The sequence below is a fragment of the Homo sapiens genome, chromosome 18, assembly GCF_000001405.40.
Source record: "Homo sapiens chromosome 18, GRCh38.p14 Primary Assembly".
NCBI lineage: Eukaryota > Metazoa > Chordata > Mammalia > Primates > Hominidae > Homo > Homo sapiens.
The window spans coordinates 2,061,462-2,089,242 of NC_000018.10; the positions used below are offsets into that span (position 1 = coordinate 2,061,462).

At 35.7% G+C, this 27,781-nt stretch overlaps 1 long non-coding RNA gene across 1 annotated transcript in view, besides 1 other annotated feature; it reads right to left on the reverse strand.

Annotated features, from left to right (window-relative positions):
• LOC105371956 (uncharacterized) overlaps positions 1 to 27,781 on the reverse strand; it is a 92,178-nt gene that overhangs the window by 27,262 nt on the left and 37,135 nt on the right. The window lies entirely within an intron of this gene.
• Positions 21,169 to 21,670: an enhancer, noted in NCBI's record as "NANOG hESC enhancer chr18:2082631-2083132 (GRCh37/hg19 assembly coordinates)". NCBI's record gives its function as "activates a minimal SCP1, AML or CMV promoter by ChIP-STARR-seq in primed H9 embryonic stem cells {active_cell/tissue: H9 hESC(primed)}" and the evidence as "EXISTENCE:reporter gene assay evidence [ECO:0000049][PMID:30033119]".

Consider the following 27,781-nt stretch of genomic DNA (forward strand, 5'->3'; position numbering starts at 1 on the left):
AGCCAAAACAAGATACCAGCAATAACTATAAATATTGAAATTAAATTAATTAGGAGAATATAAAATTAGCACTTTCTATGTTTCAATCAATAAGATATTTACTGAAATTATGAGCAAGGGACAACAGACTATATAAATTAAATAATAAAATTGGAAATAAGTGAAATTTTTTTTAGAAATGAAAAATAAAATAATTGAAATGTAAACAGATTAACAGATTACAGGTTAACAGATTAACAGGTTAACACATTAAAGAGAAAACTAGGTACAGCTGAAGAAAAATTTAATGAACTAGAAGATAGATGCAAATATAGTATGCTGAAATTAACCCTAAATGCAAATATATTGAAAATATGAAAGCAGTTAGAAGGAGTGAAAAGATCTAACCATACGTTTGATCAGAGAAACAAAAAGATATGGTACAAAATAATTAAACTAAGGCAATAATCAAAGGGATAGAAACAAATAATTTTTGAACTATAGAAAGACAGAAAAACCTCAGATCACAGAAACCTACTGATTGTCTTACAGAAAAAATGTGTATATTATCTATATCTGTACAATTAGTCACCAGATATTTTTGGTGAATTTTAGAGCACTAAAGCCAAGTGTGATATTTAAAGAAGTCTGTGATAAGAAGAATTATTTTAAACTGATAGCTACAATAGAAAGCAGAAAAAGTAAAAGACTTTTTAATCTTCCTTAAAAAATGTTAATCTAAAATACTATACTAACAAAGCTGTCTTTCAAGAATAGTAATGAAATTTTGTTTTCAGCAAAAAAAAAATCTAAATGGAATGTTTACTATAAATTCTCATTAGAGATCTAAACATCTGCTTCATTCAAAAAGAAAATTATCATAGAAGTTCTGAGATGCAAAAAGAGAATAATGGGTAGTAATTTTGGTAAATCTATGAATCATTATTTTTAAAATAATTATAATGTTTAAAGAATGGTATTAAAAACACAGATTAAGGGAAAACATTAGATAGAAATAGAATACAATTAAGTTGGAGAGTTGTGATGAGTTAAAGCATTTTAACATACCAGTTAAAAAGGGTAAAGTAGAAGGTAAAGATATTGATCAACTTTACACATTATTTAGTTACATATGCATATAAAACTATCTAAAGTTATTTAAAATAAATATATAAAAAAGAAGGTGGTGCAAGATGGCAGAATAGGATTTTTCAGTAATTGTCCTGCAGAAACATCAATTTGAACAACTATTCACACACAAAAAAATCTTCACAAGAGCTAAGGAAACCAGATGAGAGATTACAGTACCTGACTATAGCACAATAATAAGAAAAGATGCATTGAAGAGGGTAGGAAGACAGTTCCACATTACCCATATCACCTCTTCTCCAATCCCAGGCAACACTGTGTGGAAAAAGATACCATCTTATTGGAGGAAAGAAAGGAAAGTGAAGGAATTTGCTTTGGACCCCAATAGTGGGTCTGCCACCATAAAACAAGGCATTGAGCAGAACTCCATGGCCTCTGACTTCAGGCTGGTATTCATGGACTCAACCTCCAGACACGACCTGGTAGCAGACAGAAACCTGTATCCCCTGTGAGGTGGATCTGAACTCCAGTTCACATCATTGCCAGTCAATCACAGTGACCTTGAGCTCCAGACAACATTCAGTTATAACAGGTCTTAGCAGCAGTGGACTTCAGGTACAAGCCAACATTGCAACAGATTCAGAAGCCAGAAGATTTAGGCACACACCAGCTCTGCACCAGCCTCAGCAGCCATGGGATTCCAGCTTGATGCCATACCATTCACAGTGGCCCTGAGTTTAGGGAGCATCAGATGGTCTGCTTAGAATCTCTGGACAGGCTCACTGTTGAAAGCCATTCCCAGACAAAGCCAGTCTGTGAAGAATGAAATATGTACCTATTTCTTCAAATGTGCAGACATTAATGCACGGCCACAAAGATCAAGAATAATCATAGAAACATGACATCATCAAATGAACAAAATACAGTGCCAGTGCCTTACCCTAAAGAAATGGAGATGTACGAACTGTCTTATGAAAATTCAAAATAACTATTTTTTATCAAACATCAAGGAAATAGAAACAATTCAACAAAATGATGAAGACAATAAATGACCAAAATAAGAAAATTAACAGAGAGATTATTATAATTTCAGAAAAATCTAACAGAAATCCTGAAACTAAAAAATACAGTGAATGAAATTAAAAGTAAAATAGCATCAACAGCAGAATTATCAAGCAGAAGAAAGAATGAGTGAACTCAGGGATGGGTCATTTGAAAATATGCAATCAGAAGAGAGAAAAAAATGAAAGGAACAAAGAAACTTTTGTTGCTCAAGATTTATGGGACAACATCACAAGAGTAAACGTCATAGGAGTTGAAAAAGGAGAAGGAAAAAGGAGTAGAAAGTTTAAGAAAATAATATCAGAAAACTTTCCAAACCTGGAGAAAGATATAAATATTCAGGTACAAGAAGGGCAAAGATCTTCAATAATAATGAATTCAAATAAGACATAATATAATCCAAGACATGGTTTTTGTGATCTACATTGTTGTTATCAGCATAAAATAATATAACTATAAGATGTTTTTTGTAAAACTCATGGTAACCAGAAAGCAAAAACCTATAGTGAATGCACAAAAAAAAGAAAGCAAGGAATCAAAACATACCACTAAAGAAAATTAGTCACAGAAGACAATAAAAGACTAAGAAAGAAACACAGATCTACAAAACAACTAGAAAACAATAAAGAAAATGGCAGTAGTAAGTTCTTACCTATCAATAATTACCTTGAATGTAAATAAATTAAATTATGCAATCAAAAGACATAGAGTGGCTGAACAGGAAAAAAAGAAAAAACAGTTATATGCTGTCTACAAAAGACTCACTTCACCTGCAAAGACACAGACTGAAAGTAAAGATATAGAAGAAGATATTCCATGCAAATGGAAATCAAAAGAGAGCAGAAGTAGCTACACTTATATTAGAAAAAAATAGACTTTAAGTCAATGGTTGTCACAAGAGACAGGAAGGAATTAAATAATGATAAAAGAATCAATCCATCAAGAAGATATAACAATTATATATACACCCAACATCAGAGCACAGGCAGCTGTAGCAAAAATGAACAAGTGAGATTATATCAAGCTAAAAAGCATCTGCACACCAAATGAAACAATCAACAGAGTGAAGATTCAACATAAAACATGGGGGAAAATATGTGCAAACTATATATCTGATAGATCAATATCTAAAATATACAAGGAACTCAATAGCAAGAAAAGAATATTCTGGATTAAAAATGGGCAAAAGATTTGAATAGACAGTTCTCAAAACAAGACATAAAATTGGCCAACAAGTATATGAGAACATGCTCAACATCATTAATCATCAAGGAAATGCAAATTAAAACCACAATGAGATAATCACCTCACACCTGTTAGATTGGCTACTATCAAAAAGGTGAAAGATAACAAATGTTGGTGAGAATGTGAAGAAAGGGGAACATGTTTACATTGTTTGTGGATATGTAAATTAGTATGTATCCTGTTTCAAAAACAGTATACAATTTGCATAAAAAATTAAAAATAGAACTAACATATGACCCAGCAATTCCACTACTATGTATATAATCCAAAAGAAATGAAATCAGTATGTAAAAGAGATACCTGCACTCCTATGTTTATTGCAGCATTATTCACAATAGCCAAGATATATAATCAACCTAAGTGTCCTTTAATAGATGAATGGATAAAGAAAATGTGTGTGATATAGATACGCAATGAAATACTATTCAGTCATAAAAAAGAAGGAAATTATGCCATTTGTGACAGCATGGATGAACCAGGAGAGCACTATATTAAGTAAAATGAGCCAGGCATAAAAAGACGAATACTGCATAATCTCACTTATATGTGAGATTTAAAAAAAAAAAAAAAAAGTTTATTTGGTAGAAGTAGAGGGTAGAATGGTGATCACCACAGGTACAGGGTTGGGGGAGGGGAAAAGAGATATTGTTCAAAGAATACAAAATTTTAGCGAGATAGGAGGAATAAGATCAATCAAAAGATCTATTTTACAACGTGGTGACTATAGTTAAGAGGAATATATTGTATTCTTATAAAATGCTAAGAGAGTGAATGTTAAAGGTTCTCACCACAAAAATGATAACTATGTGAGGCAATGCAAAGTTTAATTAGCTAAATTTAACCATTCTGCAATGTATATATACTTCAAAAATATGTTTTACATGATACATACATACAATTTTATCTGTAAAAGTAAAATAAATAAATAAGTAAAAAAGTTTGAATTGACAAATGAATAGTGTAATTTTCAAAATATTAATTATAATGGAGAGCCAATGAGAAAAATATGCAAACAAAACAAACAAAAACCCAAAGCAATAAAACAATCCAAATGAAAGTTTAACAAAAAGGGTAAAACACAAAATTTCTCAAAAGTAAGAACTGGTAAAAATTAAGATATAGAAATAAATCCAAGTATACCAATAATTATAAAAAGGGATAAACTTTCCTGTTAAAAACAAAACTGTCTCACCAAGTTCTTTAAAACTCCAGTTTAAGTCATTTATAAGTGACTCTGTGAAATACATACAGACACAGAAAGTTTATATGAAAGGATAAAAAATATGTACAAGGCAAATACAAACCAAAAGAAAACTGGTGTTGCTTTATAAATATTGTATAAAATAGATTTTGAGACAAAGCATTACTAGATTTAAGAAAAATAACAGCTTTTTTACAAAAGATTAAATTCACTAAGAAGATAAAATAATTCAAAATCTTGATGTATTTAAGAACAAAACCTCAAATTATATCATCAAAAAATTGACAGCTCTGCAAGAGGAAGATAAATTCCAACAAGATTTGAACACTGTAGTTAACAAGCTTGCTCTAAGGAACATATAGAACATTATATCCAACAGTTAAGAGACTACAGTTTTTTTCCCTAGGTACACATCAAATATTTACAAAAATTTACCAAATGCCAGGCCATAAAGCAAGTCTCAGCAAATTAATAATAGGCATCCTACCGACTACGCTCCTTGATCAAAATATAATTTAGTCAATTAAAAAAAAAGAAACATTTTTTACACGTCAATTTTCTAAACAATATTCTGCTCAGCTCTTCCACTATCCTTTTGATCATATCTGCAAACATGGGTGGGTGCCCATTTTGTGATACACAATGTGCCTGGCCCTGGGAAAGCATCAATCAATAAGACAAAGCCCTTGCCTTGATAAGTTTCACAATCTAGTGGGACAGACAGTAACATAAATAGAGCAATTAATGACAAAGATGTCCCTGCTTATGCCAAAGTGATTGGTCTGGATGTATTAATGATGAAAAATGAGGAAAGACATGTCATAGATGCTATGAATACACACACATAGAAACAAATTTGCAATACCTCCAGAATCCCAGACTTTAACACAAAAAGAGTCATTAAAATATTGCCTAACTTATCTTACTCTAAATCATACTTTGTAACAGATTGAGATTTTAATTTTTTACTAAATTCAATATTTTTAGAAATCCAGTGTTTAAAAGAAATAACACAGGAGGTATACACATCCTCTAACTTACTCAATTAACCCGCCTGTGAACTGTTATGAGCATGACTTTCTTTGCATTTCAATGAGAAAAAGTGGATGATATCTGGCTAAGGCAAGGTGTATGGAATGGTTGGTTTACTTTTCTATGCACCTACTAGTAGTCCCTGCTCAGATTTTTTTCTCCATCTCAGCTGTTTACACCTAGCACTTAATTACCTGTAGACTCCCCTGCTTTCTCCTGGGACCATGCGCAGTATACCAATAGCCTATATCCCAAATCAAAAAATATTTAAAATAATTATTTCACTGTTCAATGTCTGAAACTAAAGATGCCAAGCACTTTCAGAGCACCATAGAGTGGCATCTCTGCTTCCCAAATTCTTTTTTTTTTTCTTTTTGAGATAGAGTCTTGCTCTGTCACCCAGGCTGGAGTACAAAGGCACAATCTTGGCTCACTGCAACCACCCCTCCCAGGTTCAAGCAATTATCCTGCCTCAGCCTCTCGAGTAGCTGGGATTGTAGATGCCTGCCACCACGCCCAGCTAATTTTTGTATTTTTAGTAGAGATGAGGTTTACACCGTGTTGGTCAGGCTGGTCTCGCACTCCTGACCTCAGGTGATCCATCTACCTTGGCCTCCCAAAGTGCTGAGATTACAGGTGTGAGCCACTGCGCCTGGCCCCCAGTTCCCTTTTAATAGAGTAAGCCTATTGGCCCATCTTCGTCTCAGGTCTCATGGGTAACCAGAAGAAGTTCTATCCCACCACATCGCTGAGGAAGAGTGGTGGTAACTAGAAGCACCTGAAAAGGAACACCTACCTGCAACCCAGTCAGCTGAAAATAGCTTTTCTTTTTTCTTTATGTCAAATAGCAAGATCATTGTTCTCCTCAGTTTAAAGTCAATATTCGCTCCCTCCACCCCCATTTTGCTTCTTGCTAATTTTTCTCTCTATGTGTTGAATAAATCTTCAGTCTCAGCATGCCAGGGTTATGAACTCTGTGGGAACTTTAGTAGAAGCCTCTTCTGACAATATGGGCAGGGTACTATTATGCAGAACCATACTTTGTTTTGTGCTCTTCCTGGACTATGGAAATTGGACACCAAATATGGCCCAGGCTGTCTTAACTGAGTCACCAAGATTGTGCTTCCTGAAGCTCTTCTGCCTACCACCTCCAAATGGCACTTCAGCCAGATCCATCTCAAGGAGACAGAATAGCCCCAAGTACATCTTAATTGCCATATATAAAAAGTAAGAGAAGGTAGAAATGGGCTTCTTTAAGGTCCTCTATCTGGTGAATAGCCAGTACAAGAACTGGAATATTTAGCCATCTCTCCATCATTCTATACCTGAAGCACTCGAGGATGAAGGAGGCAGAAGGGATAGAAGATACAACAGAACAGCCATAATGAAATGAAAAAACTATAGCCTAGTGGTTAAGAGCTTGGCCCCAAAAGCCACACTACCTGAGTTCAGAACCCTGGGCTATGCCACTCAAAAGCCCTGTGACCTTTGACAAGTTAGTTATTCTTTCTGGGCCTTGTCTCCTCACCTGTCAAATGGAGAGAACCTTACCCCTTAGGGTTGTTGTGAAACTCTACTGCTTGTGGAGATGGTAAAAGCTCAGTAAATATCATTTTCTAGATTTTCTAAAGATCTATTATTTTCAAGAATACTATTATTCTTCTTTCTGAAATAAATGATAATTTTTTCCCCAAAAAGTTCTGTGTTCCACATGATAGAAGCAGATGAAATAGTGAAAGTTCTGTTAACCAACTATTTAACCACAAACAACTCCTTTGCATTTTCCAGGGAACAGATGGACCTTTCAAGACCAACTTGAAGGCTATAAATAGACTCACTATTTTGTCATGACACAAGTCTTAGACAAAACTGGGTTTTAATGCTCCTTCTTTAAGAATTGTTATTCATATTATCCATGGAGTTATTTCTGTACTAAAATAATGAATTGCTATCTCAACTTGAAGCCAAAGCATAGTTCAAAAATAAATTTAGGATGAGCATCCTTTTAGTTCTGCACAGTCCAATACAGTATCCAATAGGCTATTTAAGTGTGGCTATTTAAATTTAAATGAACTAAAAATTAAATAAAATTTAAAACTCAGCCCCTTAGTCACACTAACCATGTATCACGTGCTCAAGAGCCACATGTGGCTACTGGATCCTTCCTGTTGGATAGCATTGTAGATTATAAACTGGAGTGTCTGGTACCACTTCTCAGCTAATCTAACCTGATTAGTAAAACCATTAAAAAGTCACTGGTGAAATCAATCTTCAATTTAGAGTCTAGTGTGATAATTAAGAAATCTTACTTTACAATTATCTATATTCATTATTCCCAAGCAAATTTTATAGGCTATCACATCTGTATTTTTCAGTTCTAACATCAGGAAATTACACAGTACCATATGTTTTCAAGACAGTTGCTAATTTGAAACACACATATGAGATATCCCAAGCCACCATTTCTTTCCATAATCATATATAAACTATGCAAATGATTACTGGTCCAGACTCCCCAAGCAAAGTCTACAGAGCAAAATGACACTTCAGTGTCATTGAGGAAATTTGTACTGTAAGGGTAGCAAATATAAACTAATAAAATTATAAAAGTGATTCTTTAGATTTTTCAGAATAAATTTTCTGATATCTAAATTTACTACTTTATATATGCTTTCCTTGACTTCAGCTCATTATATCTGAGTTACCTGCTCTTTCAACACCTTAGTTTCATTACGAAATCGTCATGAACCACTGATCCAGCTTCTCCTAACTGTGAATCAAGCAGCTGCACATCACACACATCTCCCCAGCCCTGGCCCTCCGAGGCCCTGGCCCTCTCTACAGCTGGCCAGGTTAGCAGGTTAGCTTTCAGAGCCTTCAAGAAATCCAATTTATTCCCAGGAACTGCTCTCACACTATTTAAATCCCCTAATCTCATTGTGACCTTCTTGGAGGTAACAAGGTGGTCACATGAATAACAATGAGTCCTAGGTGGGCACTACAAAAGAATACAAAGAAATAAAAATGTCCCTGGTAAAAAAGAATCAGGAGTGGAGTGGATTGGAGGACAGTGGACATTTCCAGGATTTGAGTGATTTCCAAGTGTTAGCACAGAGACTAACAAACTAACTGTCAACTCATGGAGGTAATGATGATGGTGATAATAGTGATAATGATGACAACGACGATGATAATGATGGTGATAATGGAGATGATGTGTTTTCCCAAGCCTATCTCCAAAGTATGGGAGAAATAAAATTCGAACCCCTATTTGTGACTCCTAGTCTGATGCTCTAATTCATGCTGCCTACACTCATTCAATGGTAAACACACCTTGCTACTAGTTTACTTTGTGTATTCATAGACATGAATCTCCTCAAAGACCCCAGAACTAAACTTCAGTGAACAGAATGTACACTGGATAAAGTCACCCCATGTAATAATTTCTCCTGGCTATAGGTCTGTTATGTGCTAATTTGTCAACAGCTTGTTTTCAAGATGTGGTTATGAAGAACGTGACTCTTTATTCTGGACGAAGTGGAAGCCCCAGAAGCCACCTGGCTCATCAGGGGTGGACGCCTTGTTTTTCTATTAGAAGTTCTCATTTTCCTGTTTTACTTTGTCTTGAATGACGTTGTGCTGTGTCCATATGTTGTCTCCTCTGCCCTCTTGGGTCATTCTGTTCCAGCTCACCAGATCGCAGCTGTTTAATGTCTCCTGCAGGCCTCCATTCTTGGCACATGCCCAAACTAGTGCCACAGCAACCCTATTCCAGGTAGGAAACTGGCTACTTTCCAGGGCGTCATTGTTGTTACAGTGTCCTTAAATGTCTGACCTTTCCACCTCTGTAGATTTGTTTCCATTTAAAAAGCCTGGAGGATTTACAATAGCACTTCCTGTAGTACCAATGTGATAAAAGCAAGGACACCTGGGGAAAACTATCTTTTTTTTTTTTTTTCACTTTTACATTCATTTCAGATTTAAGGTCGTCAACCTCATGTATCCACTAAAATGGAACTTGTGCCTCCATTCAAATATATGAGGAAATTTATACTTCTCTTGAATTTTGAGATATTCTCTTTCAAAAGCTTCATCACATAAAAATCTATCCATTTTGCTATCACCTATTCATATTCAGGAATCTGGATTTACAATGTCACACGCAATATTATAAAAGTATTCTACAAACTGATCATATGCCATCTGCTTATGAATAATAATTAGCAGCCCCCTCTCCCACCCCAGGAACACCTGTCTCATTTTACCGCCAGCCTATTTAGAGCCAAGCGTCATTGTTACCTGGATCTTGATCCTCTTTTTCCTGATTAATGTACTTATTTAGACCTACTATTTAAAGTTTATAGACAAGCTCTGAGCACTACTGGATAGAGAGCCCAGAAGGAAAGTCAAGATGCCAATGCTAATTTTAGATGATTTTACTGGTCAGTCGACCCAATGTCAAATTGCTAGATTTTCACACTGCCACTCCTATGGCAACCCAATTAGCAAAAAGCTCCTAGCTTGCAAGAAGAGTTTTCATGAGTATCCTTAGAAAACATACTTCTTATTCAAGGAAGTATGAGTAAAGAAAAAAATAGAAAGTTTTTTGTTTGTTTGTTTTGGGGTTTTTTTGTTGTTTAATAGAGGGTTTTATGTTTGTTTCTTTGTTTGTTTATTTGCCCATGTATCTTTCTATTCTTGAAGCCCAAGGAGGAATGTCCATTTTCTCTTGAAGTCATGAGGCATATTTTCTTATTATGATTCTCATAAATAGAAGGGTGCCATTTGGAAAAGTGGAGATCATCTTCATCCTGGTGGTATTAAAACAAACTTTTTTTGTGCTTTTCAAGTTTTAAAGACCTCAACAAACTTGAGATGTGCATAGATAATTCAAGACATTTTATTTTACAAATTGGAAATTGGACAGAAATTTTGACTTGCTGCAAACAAATTTTCTTCAAGAAATATAGTAATGCATCAGCTCATGCTTTTTCTTAGCATACCTCTGGATGCAAGAGACACAGTTTGTTGTTCATATCAATAGAAACATTTCAACAACAAAATCTCTTCCCTTTTGTAATATCTGTACATCTGATGGCATTATTCCTGCACCACTAATTATTCAGAATGGTCTGTAGTTTGCTATGTATCACATTTTTTTAATCACTCAAGGAATTGTTAACCTATATAACATTCTTCACTGCTACTTGCCACTCCCATGAAAACTCAAAGTCAGCTATTACTAGAATTACTTTTCCTAAAAGCTCCATGGAAGCCTTGGAGTAGCTAACACTTTGAAATAAAAAAGAAAAAACTCATTTTTGAGGCCTTTCACTTATTAAGTTATTTTTTATGAAGACCTTGGCATAATTTTATCACTAGTGGTAAAGATTGTTTTCTGTTATACACCATGAATGAATGAAGTTCTTTCCCATATAGTATTTATTGTACAGTAATTTCACATGCAAATCTATACAAAATACACACAAAACACAACAGTGAAAAATGTGACATAATCAGTAGTCAGAAGGCATCATGCCACATGTCTATCCCATTGCCAGCATCTTCTACTTCAATATCTATTCCACCTACATTTTTCTCCAATTTCCACCCTTTTTCACATCATATGATTTGTTGTGGTATGTAAGAATAGGAGAATTACTCATGAACTTTTCTAATTTTTTTATTAAAAAGAGAGAAAATATTAAAATAATCATTCCTGACTTACAGCCAAAGCTTTTATAAACTATTTCATTCAATATTTATCTGGGGTGCTAGGTTGAGAAGTTTACCAACTGAAGCTCCTTCTTATTAAGCAATAGGGCAAAATAAAGATTTTGCCTACAGCTCAGTTATTGCTCTTAAAAAGCTTTTAATTTAATCTATGATCAAATAAAATGTCCCAATAGGTTGATTTCTGTGTTCATTGAGTAAGTCAACTACTTTGACTTCTAAATCATTTTTCAAAATGTTAATCATGCTAAAAATAAGAACATAAAGGCAAATATAAATCAGACAAAGTGTCTATAAATTAATTGCCTCTGAATCTTAAGACTAAAAAGGATCATATAATACAATGGTTTTCCAGTTCTGATTCATGGCACACTAGGAATTCTGGAGAAGGGTCTTGAGGGCTGCCTTTGCCAGGGAGAGTGGTAAGTGGAACCCTCCAATCTCATTCAGTTACATCACTCAGCTCTACTCTATTCTACATGTTAGACAGAGTTCAGTGCATTACTTAAAGAAAGGAATTTAGCGGCTGTTTTACTTTGGACTTATATCTTGCATCAGTTTAGATTGTTCAGAGCTGAAGGCAAAAGAGGAAGCCAAAGGTTTTGCTTTTTGTTCTTCAGTTCATGGTTATTAAAATGTATGTTTTAGGGGTTTTCTCAAGGAAGTTTGATCCTTTGGAGAAAACTGTTGATTAGCATGTCTGCTAAGCATTTGTACCACTTTCTTGAAAACAGCCAAGCAATGCCAACTCTAGGTCCCATGTCAGGCATAAGGAAGGCAAGAAGCATCATTGGTAACAAATGGGAGTGGAGGGGGTACAGGATTTGATAGGAAATATAAAATGTGTAAGACGCTTTTAATTGTATTTGTCTCTAAATATCCTAAAATATCAGTCTTGTTGCAATTAACAGGTATCAAAATAAGTTTTAGCCAAAACTAGGAATTGAAAAGGGTCAGAAGACTCAAGAATTGGCAAACTTGGCCGGGCGCGGTGGCTCACGCCTGTAATCCCTGCACTTTGGGAGGCCAAGGCGAGTGGATCACGAGGTCAGGAGATGGAGACCATCCTGGCTAACACAGTGAAACCCCGTCTCTACTAAAAATACAAAAAATCAGCCGGGCGTGGTGGCGGGCGCCTGTAGTCCCAGCTACTCGGGAGGCTGAGGCAGGAGAATGGCATGAACCCGGGAGGCGGAGCTCGCAATGAGCCGAGATCGCGCCACTGCACTCCAGCCTGGGCGACAGAGCGTGACTCCGTCTCAAATAAAAAAAAGAAAAAAAAAAAAGAATTGGCAAACGCTAAAATATTATTGGCCATCAGTTTATCCTTTTATAATACATTCCGTTGAATGGCAAAATCTATTTATGTATTATAAAAGGATATATACATATATGTGTATATATGTAGTACATATCTATAGCATATATATGTATCACAGCTCTTGGATATTAAAATGCATGTTTTAGGGGTTTTCTCAAGGAAGTTTCATATATATACTATATGTATATATATGTATTACACTAGGATATACACATACGGCACATTACATACATATGTATATATTACATATGTATGTAATATGTATATATTCACACAGCGTGCCAGTTTCTTCATAATATCTAATTTAGTCACTCCTTTCAACAAAACATTACTGAATTCCTACTGAATAGCCTATGTGAACATATATGTATATATTACATATATGCAATGTGCCATATGTATATATCCTAGTCTATATATGTATATATCCTTGTATAATATGTATAACATATGTGTATATATGTATTACATATATGTGTATATATATTTGCATATAAGGATAAAGTGATAGCCAATAATATTTTAGGGTTTGCCAATTATTAAGTCTTCTGACTCTTTTCAATTCCTTATCTTGGCTAGAACTTATTTTGATAACCATACTTCTTTTTTTAATTTGCCTTCAAGAAGCAGAATACGTAGTGTTTAATGGCATCCCTTATGAAGGTAAACTATTGCCTAATCAGACAAGGTTTTCCTTTCTATATGTTTCTACAAAGCTCCTTCACTTACTCAGAAGGTAATTTCCTGGTACTTAATCCAGTGATACCACAGGCCAAAATTATCTTGAAAAGTAAAAGTTCATTTCTTGCATCAATTGATCTGAATTATTGGAATGATGCTATCTTTTCACACATCATGCCATTCAATTTCTTCATAGTATCTAATTTAGTCACTTATTTCAACAAAATATTACTGAATGCCTACTAAACAGCCTATGTGAACAGCCCCTATACCACAAGATGGGAGATACTTTTCTTCAAAGATGATTTAACTTTAACAATTAATCGTTCATGAACCTCCCAAAACCTCTCAATGAGAATTCTGAGAATACACAGAGGTAGTCCTTAATCAGGCAATGAAATCTATTTTCTCAGCCCATTTTCAAAACAATGACCCTTTTACCATAAAGATACGATTCTAGGAGCATTCTGTTTAAAGCACAGGTCTTTCTGTCTCTCTTCTCAGACAAAAAGCTGAAGCATTTAATTTGCCTTGGCTCATCTCAAGTATGAGTTTTAGACTGAAAACTACTCTTCATTTATTCAATGGCAGAATCTCTATTAGTCAGCTCTAGTCTGTCTAGTATTTCAAAGCTCCATTTAAGGAAAAAAGAAAAACAGGAACCAGCTTCATTCTTAGATTTTACACAGAGAAATCCCACAAAGTAATCTTCTAGTGGACCAAAGATGGCTAATCTATGCTTCCCTCATGTAAAGGTTTGATCCTTTGAAGAGAAATCTAAGTAACATGGAGGAGGCTAGCTCACTGATAAGCTGAAGATAGAATTCATGAGATACGTAAATCCTTCTTCCAGACAGGGCCCCAGAGAGACAGTCTTCTGCCCCTTCACAGTCTGGGTACCTGGCAATTACTTCTGATGACCTCAGTGCCTCATGTGGTAATGATCTTGTCAAAGGTTTAGCCATAGACAAAATAATCAGGAAGAATTATTTCCCCATAGACCAATTTTCTAGGGCTGGCTGTGTGAAACCAAGAAGAAAATACTTTGTCAAATTTATGTGCAGATAAAATCAAATAATGCTGAGATATATTAGCAAACCATATTCAATAGTACATTAAAAGGACCATTCACTACAATCACGTGGGATTTATCATTGAGAAACAAGGTTGATTCAACATATGCAAATCATTAAATGTGATTTGCTATATTAATAGAATGAAAGATAAAATCCATAAGATCATCTCAATAGATGCAGAAAAAGCATTTGACAAAATTCAACATCTTTTGTGACAAAATATCTCAACAAATTAGGTATAGAAGGAATGTTCCTCACAAAATAAAGGCTATTTATGCAAAGCCCACAGCTAACATGATACTTAATGGTAAAAAGTTGAAAGTTTTTTCTCTAAAATCAGGAACAAGACGAGGAAGCACATTCTCACCATTTCTGTTCCGCATAGTCCTGGAAGTCCTAGCCAGAGCAATTAGGCAAAAGAAAGAAATAAAAAGACATCCAAATAGAAGAGAATGAAGTGAAATTGTCTCTGTAAATGACATGATCTAATATATAGAAAATTCTAAAGACTCTTCCAAAAAAACTATTAGAACTGATACATGAATTCAATAGTTTCATGATACAAAATCACCTTACAAAAATTAGTACCATTTCTATATGCTAACAATGAACTGTCTGGAAGAGAAATTAAGAAAACAATTTCATTTACAATAGCATCAAAAAATAAAATAAAGTAGGAGTAAATTTAACCAAAGAAATGAAAGACTCTTATACTAAAAACTGATGAAAGAAATTGAAGATGACACAAATGGAAAGATACCCTGTGTTCATGAATTGAAAGCATTAATATTATTAAAATGTCCACAGCAACCACAGCAATCTACAGATTCAATGCAACCCTTATCAAAATTCCAATGTTCATTCTGCAGAGAAATTTTAAAAATCCAAAAATTTATATGGAAACAAAAAACACTTCGAATAGCCAAAGCAATTCTTGCCAAAAAGAAAAAGCTGGAGGTATCACTCTACCACATTTCAAAATATATTACAATGCTGTAGTAATCAAAATAACATGGTACCAGCACAAAAACAAACACATAGACCAATGGAATAGAATAGAGAGCCCAAAAATAAACCCATAGATTAACTGAGTTTCACAAAGGTACAACACAATGTGGAATGGACAGTCTCTTCAATAAATGGTGTTGGGAAAACTGGATATTTATATACAGCAGAATGAAAATGGACCCTCATCTCACCCCCTATACAAGAATCAACACAAAATGGATTAAAGACTTAAATGTAAGGCATAAAACTATAAAGCTACTAGAAGGAAACATGAGAGAAAAGCTCCCTGGTATTGGTCTGGGCAGTGATTTCTTAAATATAACCTCAAAAGCACAAGCAATAAGAGCAAAATTAGACAAATGAGATTGCGAAAAACTAAAAAGCTTCTGTATAGCAAGGAAAACAATCAATAGAATATGGTCAGGCGCGATGGCTCATGCCTGTAATCTCAGCAATTTGGGAGGCTGAGGCGGGCAGATCACTTGAGGTCAAAGTTTGAGATTAGCCTGGCCAACATGGAGAAACCCCATCTCTACCGGGCATGGTGGCACACACCTGTAATCCCAGCTACTGGAGAGGCTGAGGCAGGAGAATCGCTTGAACCTGGGAGGCCAAGGTTGCAGTGAGCCAAGATCATGCCGCTGCACTCCAGCCTGCGCAACAAGAGTGAGACTTTGTCTCAAAAAAAAAAAAAATTAATAGAATGAAGAGACAACCTACAGAGTGGGAGAAAATATTTGCAAATTATGCATCTGATAAAAAGCTAACATCCAAAATATACAAGGAACTCAAACTACTCAATAATAAGAAAATAAATAACCCTATTAAAAAATGAGCAGAAGACTTAAATAGACATTTCTCAAAAGAAGACACACAAATAGCCAACAGGGATATGAAAAAAATGTTCAAAACCTATAATCATAAAATAAATGCAAATTAAAAATATCACCTCACACCTGTTAGATTGGCAATTATCAAGTAGATGAAAGATAAATGTTGACAAGAAAAGGGAACGTTATGAACTTTTGGTGGCATTGTAAGTACAGTCATTTTGGATAACAGTGTGGAGGATCCTGAAAAAAACTGAAAGTAAAATTACCATATAATCTAGCAATCTCACTACTGAATATATAACCACAGGAATTGAAATCAGGATGTCAAAAGAGATGCCTACACTCCCATGTTCATTGCAACATTATTCACAATAGCCAAGGTATAGAAACAACCTGTGTCTAACAATGGATCAATGGATTTTTTAAATGTGGTACATATACACAAAGGAACTCTATTCAACCTTAAAGAAAAAAAATTAATAATTCTGACACTTATAACAACATGAATAAACCTAGAGGACATTACATTAAGTGAAGTAAGCCAGGCACAAAGAGACAAATGCCATATGATCAGATCAGGCTAATTAGTATGTCCATCACCTCAAATATATATCATTTACTTGTGATGAAAACATTAAAAATTCTTTTTAGCTATTTTAAAATACATAATACATTATAATTAACCATAGACTTCATGTTGTGCAATATAACATCAACACTTACTCCTCTTATTGGTAAACCAAAAAGTATCTGAGACAGATCTCAATCAATGTAGAGGTTTATTTTGCCAAGGTTAAGGACATGTGTAACATCCTTAATATAATGTCCTCCAATAAACCTAGAAGACATTACACTAACTGAAATAACCTAATCCAGGCCCAAAGAGACAAGGGTCATACATGAAATCTAAAGAAATGAAACCCATAGAAGTATAGAGAGTAGAATGGTGGTTACCAGAGGATGGGGGTAGGGTTGAATGGGAAAAGGGGAGTTGTTGGTCAATGGGTACAACGTTTCATTTAGATATGTGAAAGGAAAATAAATCCTGGGACCCATAAATCACTAAGCCAAAGGGAAAAGTCAAGCTGAGAACTGCATCAGGCAAACCTGTCTTCCATTTTATTCCTAAATAAGATAACTACAAAGATTTTAAAGAGCCACATACCTCCCTCACAAGTTGCCCATTAGGAAATTCCTTGTAGGCATCAAAATCTTTACCCTAATAGTTCCGTTGAATTTCACCCTGATGGTGTAAATTGATAGCTTATCTTCACAGGTACAGGACAAAGGACAGAACTCAAAGTCATCCCTCTGCTCACCTGAGACAAATGCATTATGTGATTACTTCTTCTGCCCTATGTTTATTTTACCTTATGTAGAAATGCAGACTCACTGAGCTAGATAAATGCATAAGTGACTTTTCCTCTTCCTGCCCTCTCACATAAGAAGGACTGATCAAAGACTCAAAAAGAAAGCAACCATTTGCATCTTATCTACCTACACCTTTTAAAAATATTTTCCTCTTTCCTCAACATCCACCCTTTTCCCTTTAAATATTGAAGCGTTCAAAATCATCTTTGGAAAAAGGCATAGTCCTCTCTCCCAGGCATGCATCCTTATCCATGGCAAAATAAATGTCTAAATTAATTGAGACCAGTCTCAGGTACTTTTTGGTTTACAAATAAAAGGAATAAGTGCTGGTGTTATATTGCACAAATGGTGACTATAGTTAATTATAATGTATTAAATATTTTAAAATAGCTAAAAGAGAAATTTACATGTTTTCATCACAAATAAGTGATACATATTTGAAGTGACGGATATACTAATTAGAATGATCCGATCATTCCACAAGGTTTACATGTATCAAGACATCACATTGTACCCCATAAACATATACAATTATTATTTGTCAATTAAAAATAAAATAAAACAAATAATTTTTTAAATTTATAAAACAAACACTAAATTAGCAAAAACTGAAACACTGCCCTTAGGAAAATACATATATTAAACATATATATATTAAGTGATGGATATATCCCATATATATAAAGTGATAGGATGCATGTATCCATCATTTAACATATATATGTATATTATATATATATATATATACAATGTACATATATATTTCCCCCTAGGGAAATATATATCATATATTATCATCACATTGTCCCTACTGTCTCCATCTTCTGGTCACCTCTGTATGACAGCTAAAACAAGAAGGTGGAGCAATGCCTAAATCAACCTCGGCTGGGAACATGTACCTCCGGCAATTAAATTTTTCACTATCGTGCACGTCTTTGAATGGCCACAAAAACATTGCAAATACTGATTTGGAGCTACAAATAATTTTAATATGTAAGCAAATTCACAAATACGGAATCTACAAATAATGAGACTAAACTGTATCTGAATAGGGTCTATTATTCAGGATAAGGAATGGTACAACTCAACTGTGAAAAGACAAGCCAATTAAAAAATGGGTAATGGTCTTAAATAGACATTTCTCCAAAAAAAGATATACAAATGGCCAAGTACATAAAAATGATGCTCAATATCATTAGTCATTAGGGAAATACAAATCAAAACCACAATGAGATCTCATTTTACATCCACTAGAATGGATATTTTTTTTTAACTACAAGTTTTGACAAGGACGTGGAGAAATTGGAGCCCTTGTACATTGTTGGTAGGAGTGCAAAATGGTGCAGCCACTGTAGAAAATGGTTTGATAGTTCCTCAAAAAGTTAAACATGCAATGACCATATGACCCAGCAATTTCACCCCAATATCAGCCCAAAAGAATTAAAAACAGATATTCAAACAAAAACTGCAGCATTATTTGCAACAGCCAAAAGATAGAAACAACACAAATGTCCATAAACAGAAGAATGGAGAAACAAAACATGCTCTATCTATACAATGAAATATGCAGCCATAAAATGAGTGAAGTACTGATAAATACTACAACAGAAATGAATCTCAAAAACATTATACTAAGAGAAAGAAGCTAGACACAAATGTCACATATTGTATGATTTCCTTTAGGTAAAATATTCAGAATAGGTAAATCCATAGAGACAGAAACATATTAGTGATTTCTAGGGATTGAGGTGGGGGTAGATGGGGTGTGACTGCTTCATGGGTAAAGGGTTTCCTTTGGGGATGATAAAAATTACTTGGAACTAGATAGAGATGATGACTACAGAAATGTAGAAGTACTAAATACCACTGAACTGTATGGTTTAAAATGTTTAATTATATGTTATGTAAACTTTACCTCCAAAAAAAATGCATCACTAAAAAAATGCTGAATGGGAGCCCTTGAGACTGCGACTGATTTATAAATATTTGGAATATTTCCATTGAACGTGGATCTGGTTTTGAATTTATAATGAGAACTCAAGTTATATATGCTAATAAATTATTCTTATGACCTATATTTTAAGATACAAAGGAGATTTCTGTTATTTTAATTGTCCCCAAACTGATCCAAGTATATATTTTCAATATACTCTTTTAAAAGGAGTACACCGCGTCTTCAGGATAAGACAAACATTTATCTCACTTTCATTTCATAACCTTAATAAATACATGCATTTTTCTAATAAATCTAAAATATATCAATAGCATATATTAAAATGTATGTATAATGTTAGGAACTAATAAATTTATTTCATGCCTCACAAAGCACTAGCTAAAAAATTCAAAACACTTGAAGATATTTAAGAAAAAAACACAATAAAGTTTTTGTTTTCCTTCTAGGTGACATTGAGTTCATTTAGAAGACAAACAGTTAAATTCTTCACCCACATAGGCAGCATCAATTTAGCTGAATTTCTAGAGAAAGACTAAAGAAGCAAACTCTTTATGGCTCTTATGTTGAAGTTAATAAACTTATTCCTAAAGCTGGATAGAATAGAAATAATAGAAATAATTGGTCCCTAAGATATAAAAGCTACAGCCTACACTCGGTTAACCTCTTCTTTCTCCTTCCTCGTAGAACCAAAATTGTTAATAGCTGTTAAACCCACTCTTTTTCCCAGAAACCCCATACATCTCAAGCGAAGTCTACCTCAGCTTTAGGGGTGGACTTGACAACTATAGGTGACCTCAAACCTCTTGCCAGTAATTTCTTCAGGAATGGTTACATGACTTACACCGAGCAAATGGTATAGGGGAGTGGTTTACTGGAAGCGTCTAGGAAAATTCTTCCTAACTCTTCTGAGAAATTTTTCTAAAACAACCTCCCCTCCCTTTGCTTGAACACTGCCAAGCATGGATATGAGGCCATATATCTACAGACATCTTACCAGCCTCAGGATGAAGCCAACATACAGAGAAGTATAAACACCAAGACTCCTGAAAAAGAGAAATGAAGCCCAAATCATGGAAATCCTGACCAATACCTCATATCCAAATATTCCATTAAGTTAGAGAATACTTTTTTTTATTTTTAAATATGAGTTGGGTTTCTATTAAAACTGAAAGAATGTTAACAGATACAAAGGTTTAGGGCAAGCTTGCCTTCTCACAATTACTAAATTATGCACTATTAAATTCATTGTTTTTTGTTAAGATACTCTCTTCAAAGAGCCCATGTTTAAATGGAATATTTAGTAGATTAAGGCATATCTCTTGACTAAAATCTTAGTACATTATCATTGGCACCTACTAGAAAGAACACACTTGTCAGATTGATAGTTATCATCAAGAAACAGGGATTTTTTTTCATTAATTAAGCATTACTTTTAAACATAGTATTTATTGAGTGCCTACAATGTGCCCAATCATACTCTAGGCAATGAAAATACAGTAATGAACAAAACACACAAAAATCCTTGCCCTCATGAAGCTTACATGCTGGAGGGGGAAACATACAATGACATATTTATAAAATATATAGTATGCCAGATGGTGGTAAGTGTTAAGAAGTAAAATCATACAGACCAGAGAGATAGAGAGTCTGAGGATGAAAAGACAATCTAATCTCAAAAAGAGAGTCAAGGAAAGCCTCACTTCTTGTTCACATTTGAGCAAATGCCTGCAGGAAGTTAGAGAGCAAGAGCATCGCTGGGGATAGGGAGATAGCTACAGGCAAAGAGAAGAGGGTGTGTGAAATGCCCTGGAAGTGGAGATGGAAGACTTCCTGCTGTTTCCTGTATGGGGAATAGCAAGGAATGCAACAAAGCTGGGCTGCAGTGAGAAGGGAGAGTAGTGAAGATGGCATTAGAGAGGGGAACATGGGGCCATTGGCACTTAAAAGAGAAAGCAGACCAGTATCAAGTGCTGTAATATGCAAGTTATTAGAAGAGGTCTGGGTCCAGGTATACTTTGAAGATAGAGCCAACAGGATGTGTTGGTGAATCAGATGTGAGGTATAAGAGAAATATATCAGTCAAAAACAACGGCTCAAAGTTTTTCGACGTGAGCATCTGGGAAGATAGTGCTGGTAACTGAAAAGAATGTTATGGCAGAACAAACTTCTTTGGCTATGGGGAGGAGGCAGTACATTTGAGGGAGCCCGAATGTGTATTTGGACTTACTAAATTTGAGCTTCCTGTTAGATATCCGAATGGAGATGTCAAAAAAATCTGTTGATCCTAGGAGGCAGGATTCTGGAGTTCAGAGAAGAGCTCCAGATTAGAGTTGTAAATTTAGAAGTTGTCAGTGTTTTGTTGGTATTTAAAAGCATGAAGTTTGATGAAATTATCTGGAAAGTAGAGGTAGAGTATGAAAATAAGAGATCCGAGGTCTGGGCCCCACGACGACGTGATGCAAGAAAAAGTTTATTTATGTTGAGGAGAGAGGCTCATAAAACGCTGTTGCAACAGAGAAAGGATCCCTATTTCCATCTAGCCCCAAAGCTATGAGGAACAGGAATAAAGGAGATGGCACCAACATATGCCTAAATGGTTGTATGTCTTTCATTATCCCATCCGGGAAGTATATTAACATGGTCTGTAAAGTTCCAATGAAGGTTTGATTTTGTGAATGGGTCCGTTTGCTGAAAGTAACAGTAAGCCCAGACTCAAACTGGAATAAATGATAAGGTGACAGTTAACCTCACATGACAGTGAACCTGAAGGAAGAGCAGACCGAGGAGCAGGCACATGGCTCACCTCTGCCTCCCTGTGGTTCTCCTGCCCCTGCTGCCCCACATTGACTTAGGCATCAGAAAACCACCAAGATGGTCACAGCTGTTTCTGGCCTCAGAGCAATAGCAGAAAAGCAGATCTGCTCTTTGAATGTCTCAGAGCAAAATGAGTCAGAACCGGTGAGGAGCTAGAGAGCTTTACTTCAATGAATAGGTCACATAGAAGTTGACAACTTAATCAAGAAGGAAGCAATTCAAAAGTGATATTCAGCGATGTCCTTGAGCTCATTACATACAGAGTACATTTTTCAAGTACTTTTGCATTGCCTTTCTCTCTTCTATTATTTGCCTTCACATAGCCAACCTCTCAAGGACATTAACAAATTCTTTCAAACCCTTTCTCTTAGTTTTCTCCCCTATGGGCCTTCATCTGCTTCCTCAAATTTAAACCAGTTGCTTTCTGGTCCAGCTGCACAACTATCATTATGGGGATAATGTACTTTGTTACACCCCTGGATATATTTCTTGAATCCCACAAGGAAATCTTTCCTAGAAAGCTTCAGTAGGACATCTCTTCATACTTCATCGGTCAAAATTAGATCCTCTGCCTACTTCTATACCAACTAATGGCAAGAAGACAGGATGACCGTCACTAGAAAAATAAAGGTCCCTTTGACCTAGAGATAGGATTCCTCCCTGAGGAGCCGATGTCTAGAGAAATCAGGATTTTATTGTCAACAAGAAAGAAGGAATTGGATGCTGGGTATGAAGCCAACGGTATCTGATTCAATGATGAATAGAAAACTCTATTTAAAGCACACAAAAGGAGCAGTGAGTTGTAAAAAGAAGAAAATATAATTGCAAAACTAAAAAGCCATCCATTTGATTTCACAAGTTGTTGTTCATGAAATATGAAATAGCTAGAAGATTGATTGATTAGGATTTTTCTTTCTTTTTCTTTTTTTTTTTTTTTTTTTTTTTTGAGACGGGGTCTCACTCTGTTGCCAGGCTGGAGTGCGGTGGTACAATCTCGGCTCATTGCAACCTCCACCTCCTGGGCTAAAGCGATTCTAGTGCCTCAACCTCTCGAGTAGCTCGGATTACAGGCACGAGCCACCATATCCAGCTAATTTTTTTTTTATTTTTAGTAGAGATGAGGTTTCACTATGTTGGACAGGATGGCCTTGATCTCCTGACCTCGTGATCCACCCACCTCAGTCTCCCAAAGTGCTGGGACTACAGGAGTGAGCCACCGCGCCCGGCCTGATTAGGATTTTTAAAATCACTTCTAGCACCAACATTTTGACTTAAATACTATTTTGATAAAATCATGTGAATTGCTATTAAACACCAAAAAATATCACCACTTTATTTTGAGAAATCTTAGTACTTTAATGATAGCCATTTTTGGACATAAACTGGTTGCATAATTTTGTTGTTGTTGTTGTTTTTTAGATGGAGTCTCACTCTGTCACTCAGGCTGGAGTGTAGTGGCACCATCTCGGCTCACTGCAACCTCTGCCTCCCAGGTTCAAGCAATTCTCCTGCCTCAGCCTCCTGAGTAGCTGGGATTACAGGCACGTGCCACCACCCCTAGCTAATTTTTGTATTTTTAGTAGAGATGGGGTTTCACGATGTTGGTCAGGCTGGTCTCGAACTCCTGACCTCGTGATCCGCCTGCTTCGGCCTTCCAAAGTGCTGGGATTATAGACGTGAGCCACCACACCTGGCCAGTTGCATATTTTAAACATTACATTGTTCATGCCAGGTAAATGTAAAACCAAGCTTCAATTGAAAGTAATCTGATGGGTTTCAGACTATAAATTACTTAGTTTTATATCAGAAACAGTGAGCATCTGATTCTTAAAATGGAACTTAATGGAGTTACGATTAAAGTCAGTGTATGAACAGAGCCAGATTAATAGTAGATTAGGTAAATGGTGATCTCAGTCCCAAAGGCAGCTTGCAGTTTATCATATGTCTATATTTCCCTCTTTAAGTGAGAAAACTCTAAATTGATGTTTTTAAAGGCCGTAAGTCATCCCTCCAAATCTCTTCTCTTCTCATCAACCATGTATCCTGGGTCCTGTACATTCTGACCTCCACTTCACTTCATTTGCCTCTAATTTGGTCTCTGTTGCATTCATTGCATTAAGAAGGCACAAAAATACCACACATTTCGCATGTGCAGAATTGTCATTTCAATAGGAACCCTTCTCTCCTACAAAAATCAAGCTTCTATGAAGAAATATAGAAATATATGGTTCAGTTTACTCTTTCTGTCCCTGGCTAAATAATGACTAAATGTGATCTCCCATCCCTTTATAATTGATAGGCCGCTGACCTAAAATAAAAATCACTGCTATTGATTTTCTGTTGGACAAGGTTTATAGCTTGCTTGTTCTTGTGTGCTTTCGATTTATATGTGGCCATTTATTCCCCTGTTTTTTATTTGTGTTGGTTTTGTTAATAAAAAATCATTTTGTAAATAAGATTATCATTACTTATATCAATAATCAGGTTTCTCTAGTAATGAGGCTATCAGGTAATATACCAGTGTTCTTTCTCTCAGAGAAAATTATCTCTTACTCATTTTCACTTAGATTTGAAACATTCATCTCTTCTCAATTCTTTAAAGATAATTCCAAATTAATTATCAAGCTGCACCAGGTAGAAGTAACAAAAATCCTTTAAAGGGAGAAAATAGATAAACCAATTGATTCTTCATGAACTAATCAGCTAAAGTTCTTCTTTCATATTTCAAGTAGCCTTCTCAAGATCACAGCTGATATAATTCATAGGAACTATTACATCATTTTTCTTTGGAAGTTTGAAATAAAGAGTTGAAACCAGTTTCTGAGAGAAACTACTGTTATCTGATAAAATAATTTATGAGGCAATAATGAGGGAAATGTTAATGAACATTCCCAGATTATGTACATCTAGCCTTCTTTCCTGAACCTTCCTGAGTGCAAATAGATCATGTATTACTGATTCCCTAGTAATGGATAAGTCATCATTAGGACCTAAGGTGTTCCAATGTGGAAATTGCTATTAATACTTTTGGCATCCTATATTAAATGTGTTCTTTAATAGAATGATTACTTCTTATTTATATAAAAAATACCTTATCATTATTTTTATTATTATTATTTTTTTAAGACAGAGTCTTGTTCTATTGCCCAGGCTGAAGTGCAGTGGCAACATCACAGCTCACTGCAACCTCCACCTCCTGGGTTCAAGCGATTCTCCTGCATGAGCCTCCTGAGTAGCTGAGACTCTAGGCATGCACCACCATGCCTGGCTAATTTTTGTATTTTTTTTTAGTAGAGATCAGGTTTCACCATGTTGGGCAAGCTGGTCTTGAACTCCTGACCTCCCTTTGATCCACCTGCCTTGGCCTCCCAAGGTGCTGGGATAACTGGTGTGAGCCACCACGCCCAGCCAAAATACTTTATCATTATTTAAAGCCCAAATACACTGACACGCATGGTCCCAATTTCTGAGCTTAAGAACAATTTAACCAAACTACAATTTCAAAGTAATGCATGATGCTAACAACATCATAGTGTGAAAATGAAAGTGTTCCTTGGTAGCCTGAGACACAATGTCCTATCCAGACACAGGCACATGGAAAATAGGTATCAAAAGCAAGGCCTCTGTCAGTTGTGATGAAGGATTCTGCCCTTTGCAATAAACACAGTTGTCTGGCATGAGTCAGAAAAGTTGCTTTCTCCTGAACGACAGCACTAACCAGTTTGTCATCTTGCTAATGGCTAGTTCTCTTCACCATTCCATCAGTGATATGGTTTGGCTGTGTCCCCACCCAAATGTCATCTTGAATTGTAGCTCCCATAATTCCCACATGTTGTGAGAGGGACCCAGTGGAAGATAATTGAATCACGGGAAGGGTTCCCCATACTGTTGCCCTGAAAGTGAAGAAGTCTCACGATATCTGATGGTTTAACAAGGGGTTTCCACTTTTGCTTGGCTCTCATTCTCTTTTGCCGCCACCATGTTAAGAAGTGCCTTTTGCCTTCCACCAAGATTGTGAGGCCTCTCCAGCCGTGTAGAACTGTGAGTCCGTTAAGCCTCTTTTTCTTTACAAATTACCCAGTCTCGGGTATGTCTTTATCAACAGTGAATGTTGAATGATGAATACAGTCAGTTTTGCTGAGTCTCATCTCTAAGGCTGTTGGAGGCTGCTGCACTGCTGCACTGCTCCACTGACTGTGGCCTGTCTCTGCGTGAGAGTCAGTGCAACTATTCTAGGCTTAGTGACAGAGAACATGAACAATTCACTCTCCCCTCAATCCCAGTGCACAGAAGGGAGGAACTGGAGAAGTTTATTTCAGTTAATGAATCACATAGAAGCTGATAACATAATCAAGAGAGAAGAGACAGAAACAATGATCCAGTGTTGCCCTTGGTCCAATTGAGGACTCAATATGTTTTTCCTGTTTTTACTAACTGCCATTTCTTTTTCCTTATGTAGTCTGCCTTAACATAACTACTCCCTCAAGAACATTACCAAATTTCTTGAAACTCTCTCAGTTTTCCTCCTTTCTGGTCCTCTCTCTCCTTGCTCAAGCCTGAACCAATGGCTCTCAGGCTGACTGCCCAGCTGTCATCACAGGAACTTGCTTCATTCCTCTCCTGAGCAGGATCAACTGTTTCCTCATTGCCATCTGTTGTTCTGGCTTGCTTTGCTCCTCATTTCACTCTAGTTCATCTTTAAGTAATTTCTTACGTAAGACTTAGGACTTAGGAAGTATGGTAGGTAACTTTCTGAGCCTTTGACCATCTGGAAATGTTGCTAACCTATTGTGCACTTGATTGTAAGATTGGCTGGGCATAGAATTCTAGGTTAAAATAATCTTCCTTCAGATTTTTTAAACTATGGCCTTGCTGTCCTCTGGTGCAAGATATACATGTTGAGAAATCAGATGCAGTTCCAACCTTCTTGTTGTTTTTCTCTGAAATTGTTCAGGAAATATTCTTTGCTCTTGATATTCTAGAACTGAAAGTGTCAATCTTACCCAACCTCTTCCCTGATTTAAGGAAAACCCACTTCAAACAAACTTAGAGACTTCGAATCTTTCCAAAGTTTCATTAGAATGAGTTAGCTTCTGTTTAACACAGGACACCACAACAGAAATGTATCATGGCATCTCTTTGGTGCTAAAAACATTGAAGAAATTGTGAAATTGCATTTTCAAAATTATGTGTTGTGGATAGAGTTATTATTTACCCAAGTATCCATTTTTATAAGTTGTTTCCTAAAACAAGCATCAAACACTCACATAGCACTTACTATATATTATAAAACATTCTAAATACGTTACAGCTTGCTCTTACACCGTGTAATTCTCATAACAGCCCTGTGAGAGAGCTTCTGTTATTATCTCTATTTTGGAG